The 22,286-nt window shown below is 44.3% G+C and overlaps 1 protein-coding gene and 1 long non-coding RNA gene across 12 annotated transcripts in view, besides 3 other annotated features; one reads left to right on the top strand and one right to left on the bottom strand.

Annotated features, from left to right (window-relative positions):
• Window positions 1-7,247, bottom strand: part of DHRS4 (dehydrogenase/reductase 4) — a 15,510-nt gene extending 8,263 nt beyond the window's left edge. For 5 of the 8 annotated variants that reach the window (NM_021004.4, NM_001282987.2, NM_001282989.2 and 2 more), the window contains exons 1-3: window positions 7,101-7,247; window positions 5,805-5,982; window positions 1,014-1,115 (exon numbers count right to left, since the gene is read on the bottom strand). In NM_021004.4, coding sequence (NP_066284.2) covers window positions 1,014-1,115; window positions 5,805-5,982; window positions 7,101-7,228 — 408 coding nt within the window. In that variant the 5' untranslated portion in view covers window positions 7,229-7,247. The remainder of the gene's footprint in view (window positions 1-1,013; window positions 1,116-5,804; window positions 5,983-7,100) is intronic. The other 3 variants (NM_001282988.2, NM_001282990.2, NM_001282991.2) reach the window with 1 other exon arrangement.
• On the top strand, window positions 5,905-22,286 carry DHRS4-AS1 (DHRS4 antisense RNA 1). 4 transcript variants are annotated; one of them, NR_023923.2, is made up of 3 exons: window positions 6,820-6,892; window positions 6,984-7,243; window positions 19,859-22,286. It is a non-coding gene; the product is annotated as a DHRS4 antisense RNA 1 (long non-coding RNA). The 4 variants fall into 4 exon arrangements; NR_023922.2 differs by lacking the exons at window positions 6,820-6,892; window positions 6,984-7,243 and adding an exon at window positions 5,905-6,269; NR_023924.2 differs by having other exon boundaries at window positions 6,820-7,243.
• Window positions 6,606-6,735: an enhancer, noted in NCBI's record as "active region_8181". NCBI's record gives its function as "activates an Ori minimal core promoter by ATAC-STARR-seq in GM12878 lymphoblastoid cells {active_cell/tissue: GM12878}" and the evidence as "EXISTENCE:reporter gene assay evidence [ECO:0000049][PMID:35858748]".
• Window positions 6,786-6,915: an enhancer, noted in NCBI's record as "active region_8180". NCBI's record gives its function as "activates an Ori minimal core promoter by ATAC-STARR-seq in GM12878 lymphoblastoid cells {active_cell/tissue: GM12878}" and the evidence as "EXISTENCE:reporter gene assay evidence [ECO:0000049][PMID:35858748]".
• Window positions 7,526-7,725: an enhancer, noted in NCBI's record as "active region_8179". NCBI's record gives its function as "activates an Ori minimal core promoter by ATAC-STARR-seq in GM12878 lymphoblastoid cells {active_cell/tissue: GM12878}" and the evidence as "EXISTENCE:reporter gene assay evidence [ECO:0000049][PMID:35858748]".

Genomic DNA, 22,286 nt, shown 5'->3' with positions numbered 1-22,286 from the left:
ACTCTATTACTTCATGCCAGAACTAGTTGTTTAAAAGAGACTGGTATCTCTCTCTTGCTTCCTGTCTTGCCATGTGACACACTTGCTCCCTTTTTCCTTCTGCCATGATTGTAAGCTTCCTGAGGCCTCATCAGAAGCAGATACTGGCACCATGCTTCTTGTACAGTCTGCAGTATCGTAAGCCAAAACAAACTTCTTTTCTTTATAAATTGCCCAGCTCAGATATTCCTTTATAGCAATGCAAAACAGACTAATACAACATCAGTGTAAAACGCAGAACCATGGGAGATCATAAAAATTAGCATTTCCCAATCATGTGGGAATATTAACCTTAATAAACAAAGACAAATATTTTAATTAAAGCTTTGTAATTAAAGAGTGTGTGTGAAATATATTACGAATATAATGTAATTATACACTTTCACATAAAACCCAATATTCTACCACTTGAATTTAGACATCTGGATCTCAGATTTTCTTGACATTGCAGTTAAGAAGAAAATAATATAGGTTTTTATTTTATTTTTTTAAAGGATGTATGTTATAAAGTGGCAACTGGTCATTTCACCAGAATTAGTATTTTAAATAAGGAGCAGCATTTAATATTTCCCAACTCGTAAAAAATAATTACTTTTTGTCAGCTGAAAAGGGGACAGGTGGGTGTGTAAATTAAGTGTTGTAGTTGTTGGCATATTAGCTGCCTACGTCTCTGTTGGAAATCAACAAGGCAGAAGAGCATGCCAGGGAAAAAGCCTGGGGAGAGGAGCAGACTGTGGCTAGTGAAGAGCAGATAGAAGCAGAGAGAACTAGGAGTAGCAGAAACGAATGAGAAGGGCAGGGATAGAGCCACCCCCACCCGCCCTTTGCAAGGTGTGCTCCAGGTGTGTGGCACGTGGCAAAGAGTCCTCACATTTACACTGCCCTTGAGAAATGCATTCTAAAAGCAGATGGAGTTTGTGCTGAATGTGTTCCAAGGCGCCCCCCCCGGCCCCCCTGCTTTAATCCCCTCTCACCTTGTCCCACACCTCCTCAGTGACATCCATTATGCTTCCAAAGAAAGGGTTGACAGCAGCATTGGAGACTAGGATATCGATACCTCCATGAAGCTTCACAGCCTAGAGAGAGGGGTAAGTTCTGGACCAGGGCTGCAGTAAGTAAGGGAGGTGCATTTACCCATGTTGATAAAAACTTCCTTCTGGGCAAGGAGCTGTGGCTCATGCCTGTAATCATGGCACTTTGGGAGGCCAAGGTGGGAGGCTCACTTGAGCTGAGGAGTTTGAGAGAAGCCTGGGCCATGCAGCGAGACCTTATCTTTATATTAAAAACAACAACAACAATGACAACAAAATCTTCCTACTTAGGAACTATCGTCAAAATAACTTCTATTTCTTAAAACATCTTTTTTGAAAACTACCCTAAGATCTGCCGCTAACCATTTAAGGTTGGCTTCTTTCTTTTTTAGACGGAGTCTTGCTCTGTCATCCAGACTGGAGCACAGTGGCATGTTCTCAGCTCACTGCAGCCTTGACCTACTGGGTTCAAGCCATCCTCTTGGCTCAGCCCCCCAAGTAGTTGGGACTACAAGTGCGTGCCACCACACCCGGGCAATTTTTGTATTTTTTATAGAGACAGGGTCTTGCCATGTTGCCCAGGCTGGTCTGGAACTCCTGGGCTCAAGCCATCCACCTGCCTCAGTATCCTAAAGTGTTACAGGCGCGACCCACCAGGAAGTTGGCCCTATTTCTTTTGCAGTGTTTTCTTCCCACCTCCTATTCTTCCAAGGCTGTCTCTGACGCTCTTTTCTTTACACTTCCCCTTTGGGAAGCTCCTTCATTCTCATGATTTCAAGTCTCACCCCAAAATCTATTTCCAGACCCCTCCTCTTCCTTTCACACTGAGTTCCACCCACATTTCTCCAAGTGCTTACTGTCCAGTTCTCCTTGAATAAGTTACCATTATCTCAAAGTCAATCTGTCCACACTTACCTGAATGGAAAAACTGGCTTAAATAGAGCTGTAGAAAGTTACCCTGGAGGGGCCTTTGAGATCATCTATTCCAGTGTCCTTAAGGTGGAGATGATGAAATAGGTTCAGAGAATTTTCTCAAGATCTTATAGTTCAGTAGTGGCACACTGGGGCTAGGTAAGAACAGGAGGCCTGCTTATTCTGTGTTTGGGAGGGGTGAAGTGATGTTTTCAGGGCACAAAGCTAGTTAGTGGTGGAAGAACTGAGGTCAGTCTCCCACTTTGTAGCACAGAGCTAATTCATAAGAGCCCTCTGAAAGTGAGTTGGGGTCATCAGGAAACTGGTTGCCCAGGAGAGCCGTGATGGGAGAAGATACCAGCCTGAATTTAAAGCAATTCCATATTTGGTTATGATGTCATTTTCCCTGTCTCTGTCTCTCTCTTTTGACCTGGAGGCATGAAAGATTCAAGGCAGAAACTGAAATTTAAATTGAGAAGGCGAAGAAAGGCAACATCTCACCTCCTTAATAAGTTATAAGTAGATAGTGAGGCCTGTGCTAGAGTAATGAATGGCCAAGCAGAATCTGCCAACAAGGGTTTTCAGTACAAAGCCACCCTGAAACCAGACTTTCCGTTTGCCCGGAACTGGCAATTTTGATGCCTTGGGCAAGTTGCAGTACACGGGCCCTCGGTCAACTTTGTGCTCCGGATTTGGCACACAGAGGGGTGTTACTAACAATGTACACCATCTGCTAGCTTCCCGTTTTAACTAATTATTCTTGTTAACTAGGTGCTAAGCTCAGTTGTTTCTAGACAGTTGAAGGAATGCTGGGCTGTCAATGTGTAAATCTAACAAAATTTACAGTCACATAATCTTTTAAAACCAGTATTAATACTTTCTTGCACCCTTTAAATTTTGGTATCCTGGCACAAAGCCAAGTCACCTGCCTTGGCTCTGTGTAAGTCTCACCAATGGACTTGTTACTAGGGAGGTGCAGAGTAAGTTAATAAGTGATGTGCGCCGTGCTCAGTACACATGTGTTTGGGCTGGGAGGAGACAATGGATTGCTCTAGAATCACCTGGAGACATTTTCTACTCTGCTGTATACCCCATACTCCTCTCCTTCCAGGTCTGTCAGCACAGAGATGGGAGGAGGCTGGGTTTTGATTGAACAGAGACAGCAAACCATAAAAGATGAATGAGGCTGGGTGTGGTGGCTCACACCTATAATCCTAGCACTTTGGTAGGCCCAGTGGGGAGGACCACTTGAGGCCAGGAGTTCAAAACAGCCTGGGAAATACAGCCCCAACTCTACAAAAAATTTAAAAAATGAACTGGTGTGGTGGTGCATGCCTATAGTTTTAGCCACTTGGGAGGCTGAGGTGGGAGGATTGCTTGAGTTCAGGACTTCGAGGTTACAGTGAGCTATGATCATGTCACTGCACTGCAGCCTGGGCAACAGAAGGAGGCCCTGTCTCTGGAAAAAAAAAAAAAAGGAAAGTCTTCTAAGTCTTATTCTAAATTGTGTGATCACTACACCAAAGCGGTTAGGAGCTGTTTGTTCTGTGTTCTGATAGTTATACATTTTTAAGAAAAAATATAATCAAGGAGATAGGCAGCTACTCTGGTTTCCACTTACAACACCAGTGAGAAGCTTCGTGGTGTCCAGATGAGGAGGCCACTGGGTAGTATCCATTCTCAGGAAAGTGGCTTTTCTCATTGCAGGGTAACATGTGGCAACTGGCAGAAGACATTTCAAATTGCTGACAAGTATTCTATCATTCTCCTCTCTGACAATGGTCATACAAACTACTTGAGAGTCATTTTTGACTTCTCTATTTCCCACTTTTTGACATGGGGTTGGAAAATCTTGGTTCGTTTCCACTGAATGTCTCTTGGGCACATCTATTCCAGTCCCACCGCCACTGCTCTAAACCTGGAGGACAGCAACAGCTTCCTCACTGATGCCCTGGATTCGGTGTCTCCTCTGTATATCCTTCCTACCAGAGCCAGATTAGCTTTCCTAATAACCATCTTTCTCTTGCTCAAAACCTCACATGGCTTCTTATTTGCTACAAGGGTGTGTAAACATATCCTTTTAAGAGGCCATATCCTTTTAAGGTCCTTAACGTATCCTTTTAAGAAGCTATGGCCGGGCACAGTGGCTCACGCCTGTAATCCCAGCACATTGGGAGGCCGAGGGGGTGGATCACCTGAGGTCAGGAGTTCAAGACCAGCCTGGCCAACATGGTGAAACCCTGTCTCTACCAAAAATACAAAAATTAGCTGGACGTGGTGGTGGATGCCTGTAATCCTAGCTGCTCGGGAGGCTGAGGCATGAGAATTGCTTGAACCTGGAGGCGGAGGTTGCAGTGAGCTGAGATTGTGCCATATCACTTCAGCCTGGGCAACAAGAATGAAACTCTGTCTCAAAAAAAAAAAAAAAAAAAAAAGGATATGGAGGCCCATGGCCTCTATCTTTCCAATGCAGCCCCTTCCCCAGCAGTACTCCTGAGCCTGTGCTCTCCACTGTGGCCTGACAGTGCTCCTCTGTTTCCTTCAGTTCCTCCTTGGCTGTCTGCTCATTTTGCAGAGTTATCTGGAACCTCATCACTATTCCATCTGTCCATTCCCATCCATTCCTTAAGGTTTAGCTCAAGTACCACCTCTGGGCCAGGCCTGTAGGCCATGTTAAGTGAACCTGGTGGGGGCCACAGGATGTTTTTCCGGGAGGATTTTCACATTACATTGCTACATGTCATATGGTTAGTGCTAATTGATCCAGACTCCCAAACGGCTCCTTCCACCATCAGGATCAAGGCCCCAATCTTGGGGTCTGTCCATCAGCCTAAGCCAAGCTTTTTTGGACTCACATTTGTGACTTTCTTGGACTCATATTTGGCTCTTTCCAATGCACATTTGAGCATTTGCCAGACAGTTCCTTAAAAATGGAATTACCCTATTCTGTCTACCATACTACTGTCTACTATTGCTTAAGATCCTCCTCTTCTAAGATTATGCAAATTATTTCTGCCAACCTTCCAATCTGTTAGCAGAATCCTGTACTTTCCATTTTTGGGTAGATTCTCCCTTCCACTCTGGGAAATAAAGTGTATGCCGTGAGCCTCAAGGGAAGAGGAGCTTCCTTTGTGAATGCTTCATATTTGCTTCAGCAGCTGCAAGGCTGGTGTCCACTACTAATTCTGACATCGACTTATATACTTTCTTTGAGACTAAAGTCCAGTACCCGGTAGTCCACAGGCAGCCAATAAAGGAAGGGAGCCTGGGAGGTCTGGGTCTTTCCTTACTGGCTGTGGGACCTTGGGAAGTTGCTCCAGCTATCTGAGCCAGGGTCTGCAGACTGAGAGAATAGTCCTTGCCTTGCTTGGGTTGTTGTCAGGTCTAGAGATAACCTGTGTAAGGCTCTGAACACAGGAAATGGCACATAGTAAGTGGCTGAAACATGGTGGGCTGCTTCCTGAGGTTCCCAGGGACTTGACTCTATAAGCTGAAGAAGAGGGGAATGTTTATTAACTCATGGGTGGGAACATGTATTTTGTGATTGTATTTACCCTTCACATCTGTTCAATTAGATTGAAAATTACTGCAGAACCAGTACCAGCTGTTTCTTTGGGGTACTCAAGGGATGATGCAGGGTTGAAGCATTAGAATGTTTTAAAATTCTCTGACTGAGATGGGATGATTCTCTGACGTTAGTATATGGACATAATAGAAAGGCACACAGTAAAAATGTGCTGCTGTCTAGGAAAGCAGGGAAGGAGGCTCAGGCTGGCTCCGTTTTCCACCTCCTGGCTCTGTGCCCATTTCCCTGCAGCTCACCGTGGCCACCAGCCGCTCCCGGTCCTCCGCCTTCCCCACATGGCACACGGTGCCCGTCACGCTCAGCCCCTCCCCCTGCAGCGTGGCCACCGCCTGGTCCACATTCTGCTGCTTCCGGCTGCTGACGACCACATGGGCCCCGTCCTGGGCCAAACGCCGGGCGATGGCGAAGCCGATCCTGTGAGCAGAAAGAGACAAAGACTGCTAAGGCCTGTGCAGGGGAAGAGGTCGACAGTATGAGCTCTGAAGTTAAGACTGCCCGGGTTTGAATTCTGGCTCTTTCTCTATATAACCCCTACGTGTGCCTACTATGTGTAAAACAGGCTTAATGGCATGGCCATTTTTGGCATTCCTTTACTTGTTTTTATTATGACCTGGACCACAGCCTCAGTTCCCAAGAACTGACATCACTTTCTACAGTTCCCACCATGGGTGACAGGCTTCATCCCCTCTTGGGACTGAGAGGTGAGAAATGAGCTGGGTTTGCAGCAGCAGCCACTTCCGTGATTTGAGGGTCTCACTCAGAACAGCCCTGCCCCCAGGTTTCTTTCTTACTCGTCTACATCATTCTCAAAATTCTATCCTTAGTTATTTTTTGGGGTGCATGTGAAAAGATGGTCTCCGGTCAAAAATGTAAATATTGCCTTGGGAGGAAGAGTTACACATTTTGCATTTGTCAGCTATTAGCATTTTACCTACATTTGTATTTTAGTTTTGTGAAGAGCTGGCATCTAGCAAAGTCCTGTAGAAATGAGGACCAGGATAGACAAGAATGGTGGGTGAGAAACAGGCTGGGCAAGGTCGGCCCAGATGTACCGACCTAAACAAAAATCTCGACATATGGCTCTGGTGTCCCATCTAGGTAAGGGGGAGGGGTTCCGGGGGACTTTCCGGTGCCCAAATAGAATGTCTGGTACATTTTCAAAGTGCTGGAGGCCGTGGGATAGTATTTTGAAATCCAGATTTCCTTGGATTTCCAGTTTCTGGTCTTCCCAGACGCTAGGTGGCGCTGGTTGACTGGGGCAGCCCAGAACACTGGGGAGACTAGATCGATAGGGCTGCACAGAGGTGGCACAGTTGTGCCAGAGGTAGCAGGGACAGGAGGGCTGGCAAGGGAGGGTCCAGGGCTAGGGGATTCGGAGTGGCTTCAGGCGGACCACGTGGCTACCTTTTTTCCAGGGCCAGACTTTGGCAGCGTGTAAGGTCTGAGGACAGGGGCACCGGAGGCCGAGGATGAGAGGCCAGTGCCTGTTTCCAGGCAGCCAGGGCCTCAGAAACTCCGGCCGGAGCACTCACCCGTCGGTGGAGGCCGTTACCAGGGCCACCTTATTTGCGAGCGGGTCCCGGCGGGTCATCCCGGAGCTGGCCATCCGCACCGAATTCCAAGCCCGGGCACAGAGGCCTAGCAGCCCCGCCTTGTGCATGGATCAGACCAGCAAGTATGGGTTCCACTCTTCCCAGGGGCGGTGACAGAGTAGGGCGAGGGGCAGGACGAAGGGCGGGCCGATTCCCTGCCCGCCCTGCTCCCCGCCCCGGTACCGCTGTGAGCGGTCTGTGGCCCTGGGCACCTCCATCCGCCGCGGCGCCCCTCCACCATCTACCTTCCGCCTGACTGGGGCTTGCCTTTCCGGGCTGGCGGGTGAGCTCTCCGTTCAAGTTGCCTGTAGGGCTCGCCCCTCCCCTGGCCCTTGCAGGAACCCGCAGGCTTTGGCTGCTGCCTTTCTGCATCTGCTTGCCCACCTTTTCTTCTCTGGGAAGTGGGGGTTTTGAGTTGGTTGCTTTTGCTTCTTCAGAATTCCTTCTCCAAGAAAGTCTGGGTCTATGTGTGTGACAGCCCACAGGAGGGCAAATGTTTTGAGACTGCCCATGGAGGTGAGGCCTGTGGTCGCCATGGAGTCCACCAGGTGAGGCTGGAAGAGCCTGGGAGAGAGACGTGATAGGGAGTAGCTGCGCCAGGCCTGGCACTGCCCTTCACTCTGCCCAAGGTCTCTTCCATCTTCACGGGCCCTGGAGGGCAGACTATGGTCATTGGCCAAACAGCATTCTCATGTCCGTTGACAAAGGGACTTCCTCCTTTACAGGGGCTAAGTGGTAGCGAGGAGGCTGGACAGTCCCTCAAGCAGTGGTGGAAATGCAAAGAACTCGGGGCACTCAAGTTCTCCCTAACCACTCTGTCCCCAGGTCTTAGCCGCCATCTTAGTTCAATAAATATTTGTTGAATGCAAAATCTCTTTATGAACTGTAAGCTACTAAGCACATAGTAGTTACTGCCACCATGTAGTGATTATTATTGGTGCCCTGGGCCAGACTCTTCATCTGTAAATTACTGAGGGTATGGATGATGAATAAAGTCCTTGCCAGCTATAAATTCTGTGTCCAAGACTTCAGTCTGCACTTCTGCCAAGTGGGCTGAAATGATCTCCCTCCTGGGTTTCCGGGAGAATGAAGAAATCTGGATGGCTTATGGTACAGTGTAGAAAGGCCCCAACAGACCCAAATGCAAGCATCTGAATTGGTTTAACCCACTGGCCTCCAAAGCCAGACTGAGAAGCAGTGCTGGTTCATGGCAGCGTTTTCACTAGTTCAAGGCAAAATGAGAAAAGGAAACAATTACAGTGAGTTTCATAAAGCTAAGCTTATTTAACAGTCCTTTATTGTGGAGTATACGTTTGCTTCTTTTTGTGTGTGTGTGTGTGTGTTAGTGTTTTCTTTTAGAAAAGATGATGAAAGCAGATGGGTAGGTTTAGAGATGTGTTATTGGTGAAATCACCAGTTTGGCAGCCTTATGCCAGTCCCTACAATTAAAGGGGAAAGAATCCTGGTTTGTGAAATCCAGTTCTAGGCATGACTTTTGAATAGAATTCATGTTTGCTCAAGATTCATTTAGTATATGTGCAGGTAAGCTGAGCAGCTGAAAAAGGGTTTCAACATTCAAAAGGGGGTGTATGGTGAGCAAGTAATAGAACGGCCTGCACTGGAATTCTAGTGTTTTCCTCAGCCAAGAAGTTACAGCTGCAATACTCTGCTTTGCTACTCAGCAGATCCCGATGAGACAGGAGAGCTTCAGTATAATTTTCCCCATGTCCAGGGAAGGCTGACTCTGACTGGTGCTCCTCAGTCTGAGCCTCATGAATTATTGACAGAGGCTGGAAGCGCCACACTGCTTGTCCTCTTGCACTGTTTGGAGCTAACGCACTGTGGGAACCCTTCCCAGGGCTCTCCATCTGTGTGTGCGGCTGGGGGAGGGTACACAGGAGGACGGCTGCGGGGGTTCTCAGGGCTTGGTTCAAAGGGACAGGCCTGCAGGGGGCGTTTGATCTCTCTTTCCCTTCTCTTCAGAGGTAGACAGGTGGACTCAGGGGCTGAGGTTGGCAGGAAGGTGAGGAAGACTACACTTCAAAGAGCAAAGGATTCTGGGAAGAGAGAATTGTGGCTTGGGTGCTTGGTGAACATTACATGGCCCTTCCTTGTGTGGGCAGGGTTGCTATTTGGCCTCTAGCACTATTTCTTTTGTGGAGAGCACAGGGGACATTAGGGAGGGGGCCTGTGAGCAGAAAAGGATGGAAGGAAGTCAAGAAGTATGGGACTCTCTAGCACTACTCCTCATCAAGCTCGCTTATTGGAGATAAGAACAGGAAATCTTGGGCTGGGCATGGTGGCTCACACCTGTAATCCTCTTTACTAACAATACGAAAATTAGCTGGGCGTGGTCAGAAGTTCGAGATCAGCCTGGCCAACATGGTGAAACCTCATCTCTACTAAAAATACAAAAACCAGCCGGGCCTGGTGGCATGTGCCTGTAATCCCAGCTACTCAGGAGGCTGTGGCAGGAGAATTGCTTGAACGTGGGAGGCAGAGGTTGCAGTGAGCCAAAATCATGCCATTGCACTCCAGCCTGGGCAGCAGAATGAAAGACTCCATCTAAATAAATAAATAAATAAATAAATAAATAAATAAATAAATAACGGGAAATCTTTCAGGGAAATACATGCATATGTGGGAGTATCTCTTTGAAATGGGAACTGTAACAGGCAATGGGATTGTTCTTACATGGAGGTGGTAACATCTGCCTATCTTGAGGGACAAATGCCTTCATGAGTGAGGGCACTACTCCCATCCTTTTCAAGGGCTGCCTGCGGTCCAGAAGAGATTTCACCTGGGGTGGAATTTAAGTCTTGCGTTTTGCAATAGCTGTCCTAGATTGAGTCGAGTCCTGCATCACTGACACAAGTCAGAATTAGGCAATGTGGGAGGGCTGGTGTGGGGTTAGGACAACTACCAAGCAGAGAAAGTAATAGTAAGAGTGTTAACAGTATTTATTGAGCACTTCCTTACTAAATGCTGGCAAGCGTTAAGTGCTTTTTATAAATTTTATTGAATATTTTTAGTCTGGTGAAATGGGTGTTTTAATGTAGGGAGCCAAAGGCCTGAGGGTCGTGACCAACTCAGCATTCCACTGAAGGCTGTATGATCTAACAGCAAACTGTTTATCATGAATGCAGAATGTGGGCAAACTCACTTCTGCGCCTGCTACCAGAAGGTTTGCTGAGGGCAATGACTCCCTGGTGCTGTGCTCCTTGAGGTTATCTACAGGAACATCTGGAGACTACTGTTCAAAGAATGCAGTCATGCAAGCCTGCACTAAGCCAAGCAGCTGACTGACAACTACCCCCTTCTCCCTATCTCCTTTACTCAATAAATACAAAGGGCTATAGAAGCTCAGGGCCCTTCTTCACTAGAAGCAAGGAGCCTCCTGACCCCTTCTTCCAAAATACTCTTTTGTCTTTGTCTTTATTCCCACATTCATCTTCTTTTGTTAAGTCCACCAAGGACTGTGGCATTTTAACTTCTTCTTCTTTTTTTTTTTTTACTTTGTGACAGAGTTTTGCTCTGTCGCCAGGCTGGAGTGCAGTGGCACAATCTCAGCTCACTGCAACCTCTGCCTCCTGGGTTCAAGTGATTCTCCTGCCTCAGCCTCCCAAGTAGCTGGGACCACAGGTGCATACCACCTCACCCAGCTAATTTTTGTATTTTTAGTAGAGACGGGGTGTCACCATGTTGGCCAGGATGATCTCGATCCCTTGACCTAGTGATCTTCCTGCCTTGGCCTCCAAAAGTGCTGGGATAGCAGGCGTGAGCCACTGCACCCAATTAGGTGTTTTAAATTCTCTATGTGAAATCAGAGTGACTGATGACAACCTTGACCACTGTGTGTGTTGCATAGTTACACTTCAGTTTTCTGGCATTGTTGGGCAATCCATAGTTTTCATAGAAATCAATTTTCTCTCAACTGGAATTTAAACTTTCAGGATCAGTGTGTTTTTCAAATCAACACATCTACTCATTAAATTATATAAATAACACATTATTTTAAAAAGGGACAGAAAATTATTTGAAAAGTAAAAGGTAACTCTTCCCTATGGTTCTTTTACCTTCTTCCCATATAGCTCTTGGCTTTGTGTATCCTTCCAGAAGTTTCCTGTACATTTACATGCATTTTTCTTTTAAAAATTTTTTCCACAATTGAAATGACACTATACATACTGTCCTTCAAATTTCTTTTCTTTTCTTTCTTCTATGCTCCAATCCCCACTTTTTAATTTCTTTTTTTAAATAATTATACTTTAAGTTCTGAGATACACTTGCAGAATGTGCAGGTTTGTTACACAAGTGTACATGTGCCATGGTGGTTTTCTGCACCCATCAACCCATCATCTACATTAAGTATTTCTCCTAATGCTATCCCTCCCCTAGCCCCCCACCCCCCTGAAAAGGCCATGGTGTGTGATATTGCCCTCCCTGTGTCCATGTGTTCTCATTGTTCAACTTCCACTTATGAGTGAGAACGTGCAGTGTTTGGTTTTCTGTTCTTTCATTAGTTTGCTGAGAATGACGGTTTCCAGCTTCATCCAGGTCTTTGCAAAGGACATGAACTCATCATTTTTTATGGCTGCATAATATTCCATGGTGTATATGTGCCACATTTTCTTTTTCCAGTCTATCATTGATGGGCATTTGGGTTGGTCCAAGGTTTTTCTATTGTGAACAGTGCTGCAATAAACATATATATGCATGTGTCTTTATAGTAGAATGATTTATAATCCTTTGGATATATACCCTGTAATGGGATTGCTGGGTCAAATGGTATTTGTAGTTCTAGATCCTTGTGGAATGGCCACACTGTCTTCCACAATGGTTGAACTAATTTACACTCCCACCAACAGTATAAAAGCGTTCCTATTTCTCCACATCCTCTCCAGCATCTGTTGTTTCCTGACATTTTAATGATTGCCATTCTAACTGGTGTGAGATGGTATCTCATTGTGGTTTTGATTTGCATTTTTCTAATGAGCAGTGATGATGAGCATTTTTTCATGTTTCTTGGCTGCATAAATGTTTTCTTTTGAGAAGTATCTGTTCACATTCTTAGCCCACTTTTTGATGGTTTTTTTTTCTTGTAAATTTAAGTTTTTTGTACATTCTGGATATTAGCCCTTTGTCAGATAGATAGATTGCAAAAATTTTCTCACATTCTGTAGGTTCTCTGTTCACTCTAATTATAGTTTCTTTTGGTGTACAGAAGCTCTTTAGTTTAATTAAGTCCCATTTGTCTATTCTGGCTTTTTTTGCTGTTGCTTTGGGTATTTTAGTCGTGAAGTCTTTGCTCATGCCTATGTCCTGAATGGTATGTCCTAGGTTTTCCTCTAGGGTTTTTATGGTTTTAGGTCTTATGTTTAAGTCTTTAATCCATCTTGAGTTAATTTTTTTATAAGGTGTAAGGAAGGGGTCCAGTTTCAGTTTTCTGCATATGGCTAGCCAGTTTTCCCAACACCATTTATTAAATAGGAAATCTTTTCCTTATTGCTTGTTTTTGTTAGGTTTGTCAAAGATCAGATGGTTGTAGATGTGTGGTGTTGTTTCTGAGGCCTCTGTTCTGTTCCATTGGTCTAGATATCTGTTTTGGTACCAGTACCATGCTGTTTTGGTTACTGTAGCCTTGCCGTATAGTTTGAAGTGAGGTAGCATCATGCGTCCAGCTTTGTTCTTTTTGCTTAGGATTGTCTTCATTATATTGGCTCTTTTTTGGTTCCATATAAAATTCAAAGTAGTTTTTTCCAATTCTGTGAAGAAAGTCAATGGTAGCTTGATGGGGATAGCATTGAATCTATAAATTACTTTGGGCAGTATGGCCATTTTCACGATATTGATTCTTCCTATCCATGGGCATGGAATGTTTTTCCATTTGTTTGTGTCCTCACTTATTTCCTCGAGCAGTGTCTGTATTTCTCCTTGAAGAGGTCCTTCACATCCCTTGTAAGTTGGATTCCTAGGTATTTTATTCTCTTTGTAGCAATTGTGAATGGGAGTTCACTCATGATTTGGCTCTCTATTGTCTGTTATTGGCGTATAGGAATGCTTGTCATTTTTGCACATTGATTTTGTATCCTGAGACTTTGCTGAAGTTGCTTATCAGCTTAAGGAGATTTTGGGCTGAGACGATAAGGTTTTCTAAATATACAATCATGTCATCTGCAAACAGAGACAATTTTACTTCCTCTCTTCCTGTTTGAATACCTTTTATTTCTTTCTCTTTCCTGATTGCCCTAGCCAGAACTTCCAATACTATGTTGAATAGGAGTTGTAGTTGTGAGAGGGCATCCTTGTCTCGTGCCTTTTTTCAAAGGGAATGCTTCCAGTTTTTGCCCATGCAGTATGATACTGGCTGTGGCTTTGTCATAAATAGCTCTTATTATTTAGAGATACATCCCATCAATACCTAGTTTATTGAGAGTTTTTAGCATGAAGGGGTGTTCAATTTTATCGAAGGCCTTTCTGTATCTAAATAATTAATCATGTGGTTTTTATCATTGGTTCTGTTTATGTGATTGATTACGTTTATTGATTTGCATATGTTGAACAAGCCTTGCATCTCAGGGATGAAGTCGGCTTGATCATGGTGGATAACCTTTTTGATGTGCTGCTGGATTCGTTTTGCCAGTATTTTATTGAGGGTTTTTGCATTGATTTTCATCTGGGATATTGGCCTAAAATTCTCTTTTTTTTGTTGTGTCTCTGCCAGGCTTTGTTTTCAGGATGATACTGACCTAATAAAATGAGTTAGGGAGGACTCCCTCTTTATCTATTGATTGGAATAGTTTTAGAAGGAATGGTACCAGCTCCTCTTTGTACCTCTGGTAGAATTCAGCTGTGAATCCATCTGGTCCTGGACTTTTTTTGGTTGGTAGGCTATTAATTATTATCTCAATTTTAGAACCTGATATTGGTCTATTCAAAGATTCAACTTCTTCCTGATTTTCTCTTGGAAGGGTCTATGTGTCCAGGAATTTATCCATTTCTTCTAGATTTTCTCGATTATTTGTGTAGAGGTGTTCTCTGATGGTAGTTTGTATTTCTGTGGGATGGGAGGTGATATCCCCTTTTTCATTTTTTATTGTGTCCATTTCATTTTTCTCTCTTTTCTGCCTTATTAGTCTTGCCAGCGGTCTATCTATTTTGTTGATATTTTCAAATAACCAGCTCCTGGATTCATTGGTTTTTTGAAGGTTTCTTTTGTGTCTCTATCTCCTTCAGTTCTGCCGTGATCTTAGTTATTTCTTGTCTTCTGCTAGCTTTTGAATTTGTTTGCTCTTGCTTCTCTAGTTCTTTTAGTTGTGATGTTATGGAGTTCATTTTAGATCTTTTCTGCTTTCTCTTGTGGGCATTTAGTGCTATAAATTTCCCTCTATACACTGTTTTAAATGTGTCCCAGAGATTCTGGTACATTGTGTCTTTGTTTTCATTGATTTCAAGGAACATCTTTATTTCTGCTTTAATTTTGTTATTTACCCAGTAGTCATTCAGGAGCAGGTTGTTCAGTTTCCATGCAGTTGTGCAGTTTTGAGTGAGTTTCTTAATCCTGAGTTCTAATTTGATTGCACTGTGGTCTGAGAGACATTTTGTTGTGATTTCTGTTCTTTGACATTTGCTAAGGAGTGTTTTACTTCCAATTGTGTGGTCAATTTTAGAATAAGCATGATGAGGTGCTGAGAAGAATGTATATTCTGTTGATTTGTAATGGAAAGTTCTGTAGATGTGTGTTAGGTCTGCTTGGTCTAGAGCTGAGTTCAAATCCTGGATATCCTTGTTAATTTTCTGTCTTTTTGTCTGTCTAATATTAAAAGTGGGGTTTATAGTTTCCCATTATTATTGTGTGGGAGTGTAAGCCTCTTTGTAGGTCTGTTTGAACTTTCTTTATGAACCTGGGTGCTCCTGTATTGGGTGCATATATATATTTAGGATAGTTAGCTCTTCTTGTTGAATTGATTCTTTTACCATTATGTGATGGCCTTCTTTGTGTCTTTTGATCTTTGTTGGTTTAAATTCTGTTTTATCCGAGACTAGGATTGCAACCCCTGCTTTTTTTCACTTTTTATTTGTTTGGTAGATCTTCCTTCATCCCTTCATTTTGAGCCTATGTGTGTCTTTGCATGTGTGATGGGCCTCCTGAATACAGCACACTGATGGGTCTTGACTCTTTTTTTTTCCTTTTTTTTTTTTTTTTTTGAGACAGAGTCTCGCTCTGTCACCCAGGCTGGAGCGTAGTGGCACAATGTCGGCTCACTACATGCTCCACCTACTGGGTTCATGCCATTCTCCTGCCTCAGCCTCCCAAGTAGCTGGGACTACAGGCTGGTGCCACTATGCCTGGCTAAGTTTTTGTATTTTTAGTAGAGACGGGGTTTCACCATGTTAGCCAGGATGGTCTCAATCTCCTGACCTCATGATCCGCCCGCCTTGGCCTCCCAAAGTGCTGGGATTACAGGCATGTGCCACTGCACCCGGCCGAGTCTTGACTCTTTATCCAATTTGCCAGTCTATGTCTTTTAATTGGGGCATTTATCCCATTTACATTTAAAGTTGATATTGCTATATGTGAATTGGATCCTGTCATTATGATGTTAGCTGGTTATTTCACCCATTAATTGATACAGTGTCTTCATAGCATCAATGGTCTTTACAATTTGGTATGTTTTTTGCAGTGGCAAAACAAAAAGGTTCTTCCTTTCCATGTAAAGTGCTACCTTCAGGAGCTCTTCTAAGTCAGGCCTGGTGACAACAAAGTCTCTCAGCATCTGCTTGTCTGTAAAGGATTTTATTTCTCCTTCACTTATGAAGCTTAGTTTGGCTGGATATGAAATTCTGTTTTGAAAATTCTTTTATTTAAGAATGTTGAATATTGGTCCTGACTCTCTTCTGGCTTGTAGGGTGTAGGAAGACCCCCTGAAACTATTGCTATGGAATAAAAGATGAAATGCTCCTGATTATTGTAAATACAAAATTGCATGCAGGATTGTCTAAAGACAATGCCAGGTTGGACTGCCAGAATGAACCAACAGCACGTGATGTGCTTCCCTCTGCAGAGAGCCTATGAATGGACATGCAGTCAGGGAGGTTTCACATCACCAAGATTCCTATCCCAGAAAAGCAGATGTTCATAGCTCTGGGAATGGAATGCGGCCCTTGTGGAGAGCCTATAAATGGATGCATGGGGGGCACCTGTCCATATAGATAAGATAGGGCTATAAATGCCCTCATCTTGCCATGGCTCTTCTAGGCCTCTTTAGGGTTAAGGCATACTCCCTTCTGAAAATTTCTGGTCTAACCGGTTGTCTAGCTTCAGGTCCTGTTTCTATGGATTGTTCGTAACCATCTTTTGCTGCAACTGTTACTGCTGATTAATATCTTGCTAATCATGGGTTATGAAAAGACTGTGTTTCTGTTTTAAGGCTCTGTTAGAAATTACTGATGTACACACTATATTGTAAATCCTTATCCCTGTATACTGTACTTCTGCATACAGATGTTATGTTAAAGAATTACTTCATCACCATGTGACCATCTCACATCATAATCAAATGACCCTAAATCCCTCACTAACCTACCCCCATCCTCACTAAACTTAATAATAGATGCTGGTATATCCAGTGCGTTGTTGGCACCACGGGACCAAAAGGCGGTGACCCCCTGGACCCAGCTTTCACTGTCTTGTGTGTGTCTATTATTTCTCAACCTGCTGATCCACCTGGGAACTAAGAGAGAGCCCTGTTGCATTGCGGGCTGCTGGCCAGATCCCGCAATAGTAGGGTTTCTGCTGAAATGTCCCCTGTTAGTCTGATGGGCTTCCCTTTGTCAGTAACCCAACCTTTCTCTCTGGCTTCCCTTTACCTTGGTGAATTTGACAATTATGTGTCTTGGGGTTGCTCTTTTTGAGGAGTATGTTTGTGGTGTTCTCTGTATTTCCTGAATGAATGTTCCTTTTTACTCTTTTTGTCTCTAATCTTGTCTTCTCACTTAACTTCATTAATTTGATCTTCAATCACTGATATCCTTTCTTCTGCTTGATCAAATCAGCTATTGAAGCTTGTGTATCCTTCATGAAGTTCTCCTACTGTGGTTTTCAGCCCCATCAGGTCATTTAAGCTCTTCTCTACACTGGTTATTCTAGTTAGCCATTTGTCTAACCTTTTTTCAAGGTTTTTAGCTTCCTTACGATGGGTTAGAACATGCTCCTTTAGCTCGGAGAAGTTTGTTATTACTGACTTTCTGAAGCCTACTTCTGTCAACTCTCTGTCTAATTTTGTTCCCTGTATGGCCAGGACTTGTATTCCTTTGGAGGAGAAGAGTTGTTCTGGTTTTTGGATGTTTTGGCTGTTCTGCTCTGGTTTCTCCCATCTTTGTGGTTTTATCTACCTTTGGTCTTTGGTGTTGGTGACATACAGATGGGGTTTTGGCGTGGATGTCCTTTTTGTTGATGTTGATGCTATTCCTTTCTGTTTGTTAGTTTTCCTTCTAACAGACAGGCCTCTCAGCTGCAGGTCTTTTGGAGTTTGCTGGAGGTCCACTCCAGACTCTGTTTGCCTGGGTATCACTAGCGGAGGCTGCAGAACAGCAAATATTGCTGCCTGATCCTTCTTCTGGAAGCTTTGTCCCAGAGGGGCACCCACCTGTAGGAGGTGTCTGTCGGCCCCTACTGGGAGGTGTCTCCCAATCAGGTTACACAGGGGTCAGGGACCCACTTGAGGAGGAAGTCTGTCCATTATCAGAGCTCAAATGCCATGCTGGGAGAACCACTGGTCTCTTCTGAGGTGTCAGGCAATGATGTTGAAGTCTGCAGAAGCTGTCTACTTCCTTTTATTCAGGTACGCCCTGCCCCCTGAGGTGGAATCTAGAGAGGCAGTAGGCCTTACTGAGCTGTGGTGGGCTCTGCCCAGTTTGAGCTTTTTTGCCGCTTTGTTTACACTGTGATCATAGAACCACCTACTCAAGCCTTAGCAATGGTGGACGCCCCTCCCCCACCAAGTTCCACCATCCCAGGTTAATCTCAAACTGCTGCACTTGCAGTGAGTAAGCCTCTGTGGGCATGGGACCTGCTGAGCCAGGCACGGGAGGGAATCTCCCGGTCTGCTGATTGCGAAGACCATGGGAAAAGTGCGGTATTTGTGCAGGAGTGTACCATTTCTCCAGGTACAGTCACTCATGGCTTCCCTTGGCTGGGAAGGGGAAATCCCCTGAATCCTTGCTCTTCCCAGGTGAGGTGACGCCCTGCCCTGCTTCAGCTCACCCTTTTTGGGCTGCACCCACTGTTCAAACAATCTCAGTGACATGAACCACGCACCTCAGTTGGAAATGCAGAAATCACCTGTCTTCTGTGTCAATCATGCTGGGAGCTGTAGACCAGAGCTGTTCCTATTCAGCCATCTTGGAAGCGACTCCTAGAATTTTGTAACTCTGTTGTGTAGCTTACTCAAATTTTTGGTTTTTCAGTTTTTTTCACTGAGTGCCAAGTATTTAAGCAGTTGTTTGTGAATACTGGTTGGAAATATCCCAGTATTTGCATGGTCCTAGCAGGCAGAATATTCTTATAAAACAAGTATGGGCTTCTCTTTCCCCTCATGCCTAGGATTGCTTTCTTCTGCTGTATTTGGGAAGGGGTGGTATGGGAAGGGGGTTTGTCTGTGCAGTTCCACAGTCTATTTTCAAATAGCAGGTGGCTCCATCTTGGGCCTCAGCACTCTCTGGGGCTGGCCACTTCTGGGAACTCCAAGATTATGGCCCTTACATTATTTCTACATGGATGCTGAGATGCAGGCTTTGGGGCAGGGATGAGATGGGGAATACCATACTTCCTGATACAGTTTGGATGTTTGTCCCCTCCAAATCTCATGCTGAAATGTGATTCCCAATATTGGAGGTGAGCTTGGTGGGAGGTGTTTGGTTCATGGGGGTGGATCCCTCATGAATGGCTTGGTGCCCTCCCCTTGGTGATGAGTGAGTTCTCTCTCTTTTAGTGCATGTGGGAGTTGGTTGTTAAAAGGAGCCTGGGACCTCCTCCATGCTGGTACTGTGCTTGTACAGCCTGCAGAACTGTGAGCCAAATAAACCCTGTTTCAATATGAATTACCCAGTCTCAGGTATTCCTTTATAGCAATGTAACATGGACTCACACACTTCCCCAGCTGCCTATTCTTTATTCCTCACAATGCCGTGGCACTAAGAAATTCACTGAAGATTTGGGGGCAGAATGAATCACAATACAGAGGGACAAATCCACCAGGCATAGCATGCCTAATATAAGTTCCCATTGGGTCTTTTATTGGCACCAGCAAATTCCTAGCCCTGCTTTCAAAACTGAGGTTTCCTCTGTCCTCCAGAGATAGTCCCTGTGGCAGATGTGGAGACGCAGGTCAAAGCTCAGGTTTTCCTTCTAGACAGGACTCATGGCCCAGCTGCTGAGAGCCTGATTAGCTGTGAGTGTCCAGCTGTTAACTCCTTCTGGTCTACTTCAGCTTCTGGAAGGAGGTTACGTTCTTCTCAGGGCGGCTCTGGCCATTTACTGAGCAGGACAGTGTGGTCAAGGACCTCACTATTTCTGCCCAACATGTGGCTTCTCTAAAGGTCCTCTTTGCTTTGGAGCTCTCAGGCATTTGTCAGACCTGCATCTCATGGTCTAACACTTTCTTCTCAATCCTGCTTCCTTCCTTTTCCTTTCACAGGTGCCACTTCGGATAAACCCTTTGGACTCCTAACTCCAATCAGGTGTCTGCTTTGTTGAGGACTCACAGACACAGTCTCCTTTCTTCAAGATCTTTACAATGCAAGACCTCACTAACACACAGGGATGGTCTCCCAGAGGGTCTGTGCTGTTCCTTCACTCAGAACATCAAGATGCACTGAAGTAAGGATCCTCTATTCTACAGTTCCTGCTAGCTGAGCTATTCCATGGGGGCTTCAGCAGGAAATTCCAAGGTTGGCTTTGACAAGCTAAGGCCGGCTGGTGGAGCACATCGAGTTCTGGAGGTTCATGTGTGTTTTCATGAAGATCTGTCTGCCCGTAGCAGATAAAGAGTTGTTGCCCCACTCCTCCTGGGGTCTTCTATTTTCCTGGGAGGAATTTCTGGATTAACTGAACACACACACACACACACACACCCTTTTGAAGCATCAACAGTAATTCTGAGTTCTTAGGGACAATGCAGATTAAATCCACAATAAGAAAGACAACTATGGCCAGGTGTGGTGGCTCACGCCTGTAATCCCAGAACTTTGGGAGGCTGAGGCGGATGGATCACCTGAGGTCAGGAGTTAGAGACCAACCTGACCAACATGGAGAAACCCCGTTTCTACTAAAAATGCAAAATTAGCCGGGCATGGTGGCAGGCGCCTGTAATCCCAAATACTCGGGAGGCTGAGGCAGGAGAATCACTTAAACCCGGGAGGCAGAGGTTGCAGTGAGCCAAGATCGCGCCATTGCACTCCAGCCTGGGCAAGAAGAGCAAAACTCCATCTCAAAAAAAAAAAAAGAGTACTATTGATCCAGAGGTGACCAGACTAGCCTCACTGGAGATAATAGGTGACATTATTATGCAAAGTGGTTTCAGTTCCCTTGTCTTGTTTTTGGAATAGTATAAGAGGCCTACAATACGAATAAATAAGGCCCATCACAAGCCTCACCAAAGGACAAAACTAATCCACTTCTGAAGAAGGCTCTTTGTTGGGCCAGATCAAATCCTTGGACAGAACTGTACTCTTAATCTCTGTAGTGAAAGTGGGGGGTAGTTTAAGAATTTATTAACCTTCTACCTTGAGCAATCCCTCAGAAGTAAGAGGTGTCAGGCCTCTGAGCCGAAGCTCAGCCATTGTAACCCCTGTGACCTGCACATATATGTCCAGATGGCCTGCAGGAGCCAAGAAGTCTGGGGCAGCTGAAAAACCACACAAGAAGTAAAACAGCCAGTTCCTGCCTTAACTGATTAACCAACATTACAACATTCCACCATTGTGACCTGTCCCTGTCCTACCTTAACTGATCAATCGACCTTGTGACAGTCTTCTTCTGGACAATGGGTCTTATCATCTCCCCACCATGTACCTTGTGACCCCCTCCTCTGCTAACAATAGATAACCACTTTTTACTGTAATTTTCCATTACCTACCCAACTCCTATAAAGCAACCCCTTCCCCATCTCCCTTCACTGACTCTGTTTTCAGACTCAGCCCACTTGCACTCAAGTGAATAAACAGCCTTGTTGCTCACACAAAGCCTGTTGGTGGTCTCTTCACACAGATGTGCTTGACAAAAGGGAAGGGTGGATTTGTCCTTCTGGTTACATATGTTCTGCTCACTCATTTTGAATTTAATTAAACAAGGATTGCCCTTACCTTTTCATACTTTGTAAGAAACCATAAATACTTATGCACCATGATTTTTTTAAAGAAACACTTTTTATTTTGAAGTAATTATAGTCTCATAGGAAGTTGCAAAAGTAGTACATAGAGTCCCTGAGTACTCTTCCCCCAGTGGTGACAACTGTAGTATAATATCAATTCTGGGAAATTGACATTGGTACAATACCAAATATACTATGCCTTTTTCTCTAAGGCATGATGTTGCAGTAGCATCCTTGTACATGTAGCTAGGAGAACTTGTACTAAGCCCAGATAAATAGTTGAAGTACAAGGGCAAGGAGTGTGTCTTTGATATTTTAATAGAAATCACCTATTGCCCTCTAGAAAAGCTGTACCCTTTTCCAGTGGCAGAGAACCTTCCTGAAAGGCAGTCCTGTGTAATGGTGTCCATTTCATCACACCCTTAAAACACTCAGCTTTAACAAACATGCAGATTTTTGCTGATGTGGGAGAAAATATTAATTATTAATGATATTAAGGTGATTATCTTTTCGTATGTTTATAGATATTTGTATTTCTTTTTAAATGAACTGCTCATGACCTTTGTCTACTTTTATTTGGGTTTACTTCTTTCTCATTTATTCCTATAAACTCTTTATAAAAGGAAATTAACCATTTGATTGTCATATGTTGTGAATATTTTTACCATTTTGACTTTTGAATTTATGTCTTTTTAATGAATTGTAGAAGTTTAAAATCTTTATGGAATAAATTTATTTAGTTTTTTGTTTATGG

This window comes from Homo sapiens, chromosome 14 (genome assembly GCF_000001405.40).
Source record: "Homo sapiens chromosome 14, GRCh38.p14 Primary Assembly".
In the NCBI taxonomy this organism is placed as follows: domain Eukaryota; kingdom Metazoa; phylum Chordata; class Mammalia; order Primates; family Hominidae; genus Homo; species Homo sapiens.
Note: the sequence above shows the minus strand (reverse complement) of the source record. Positions and strands in the feature narration are given on the sequence as shown.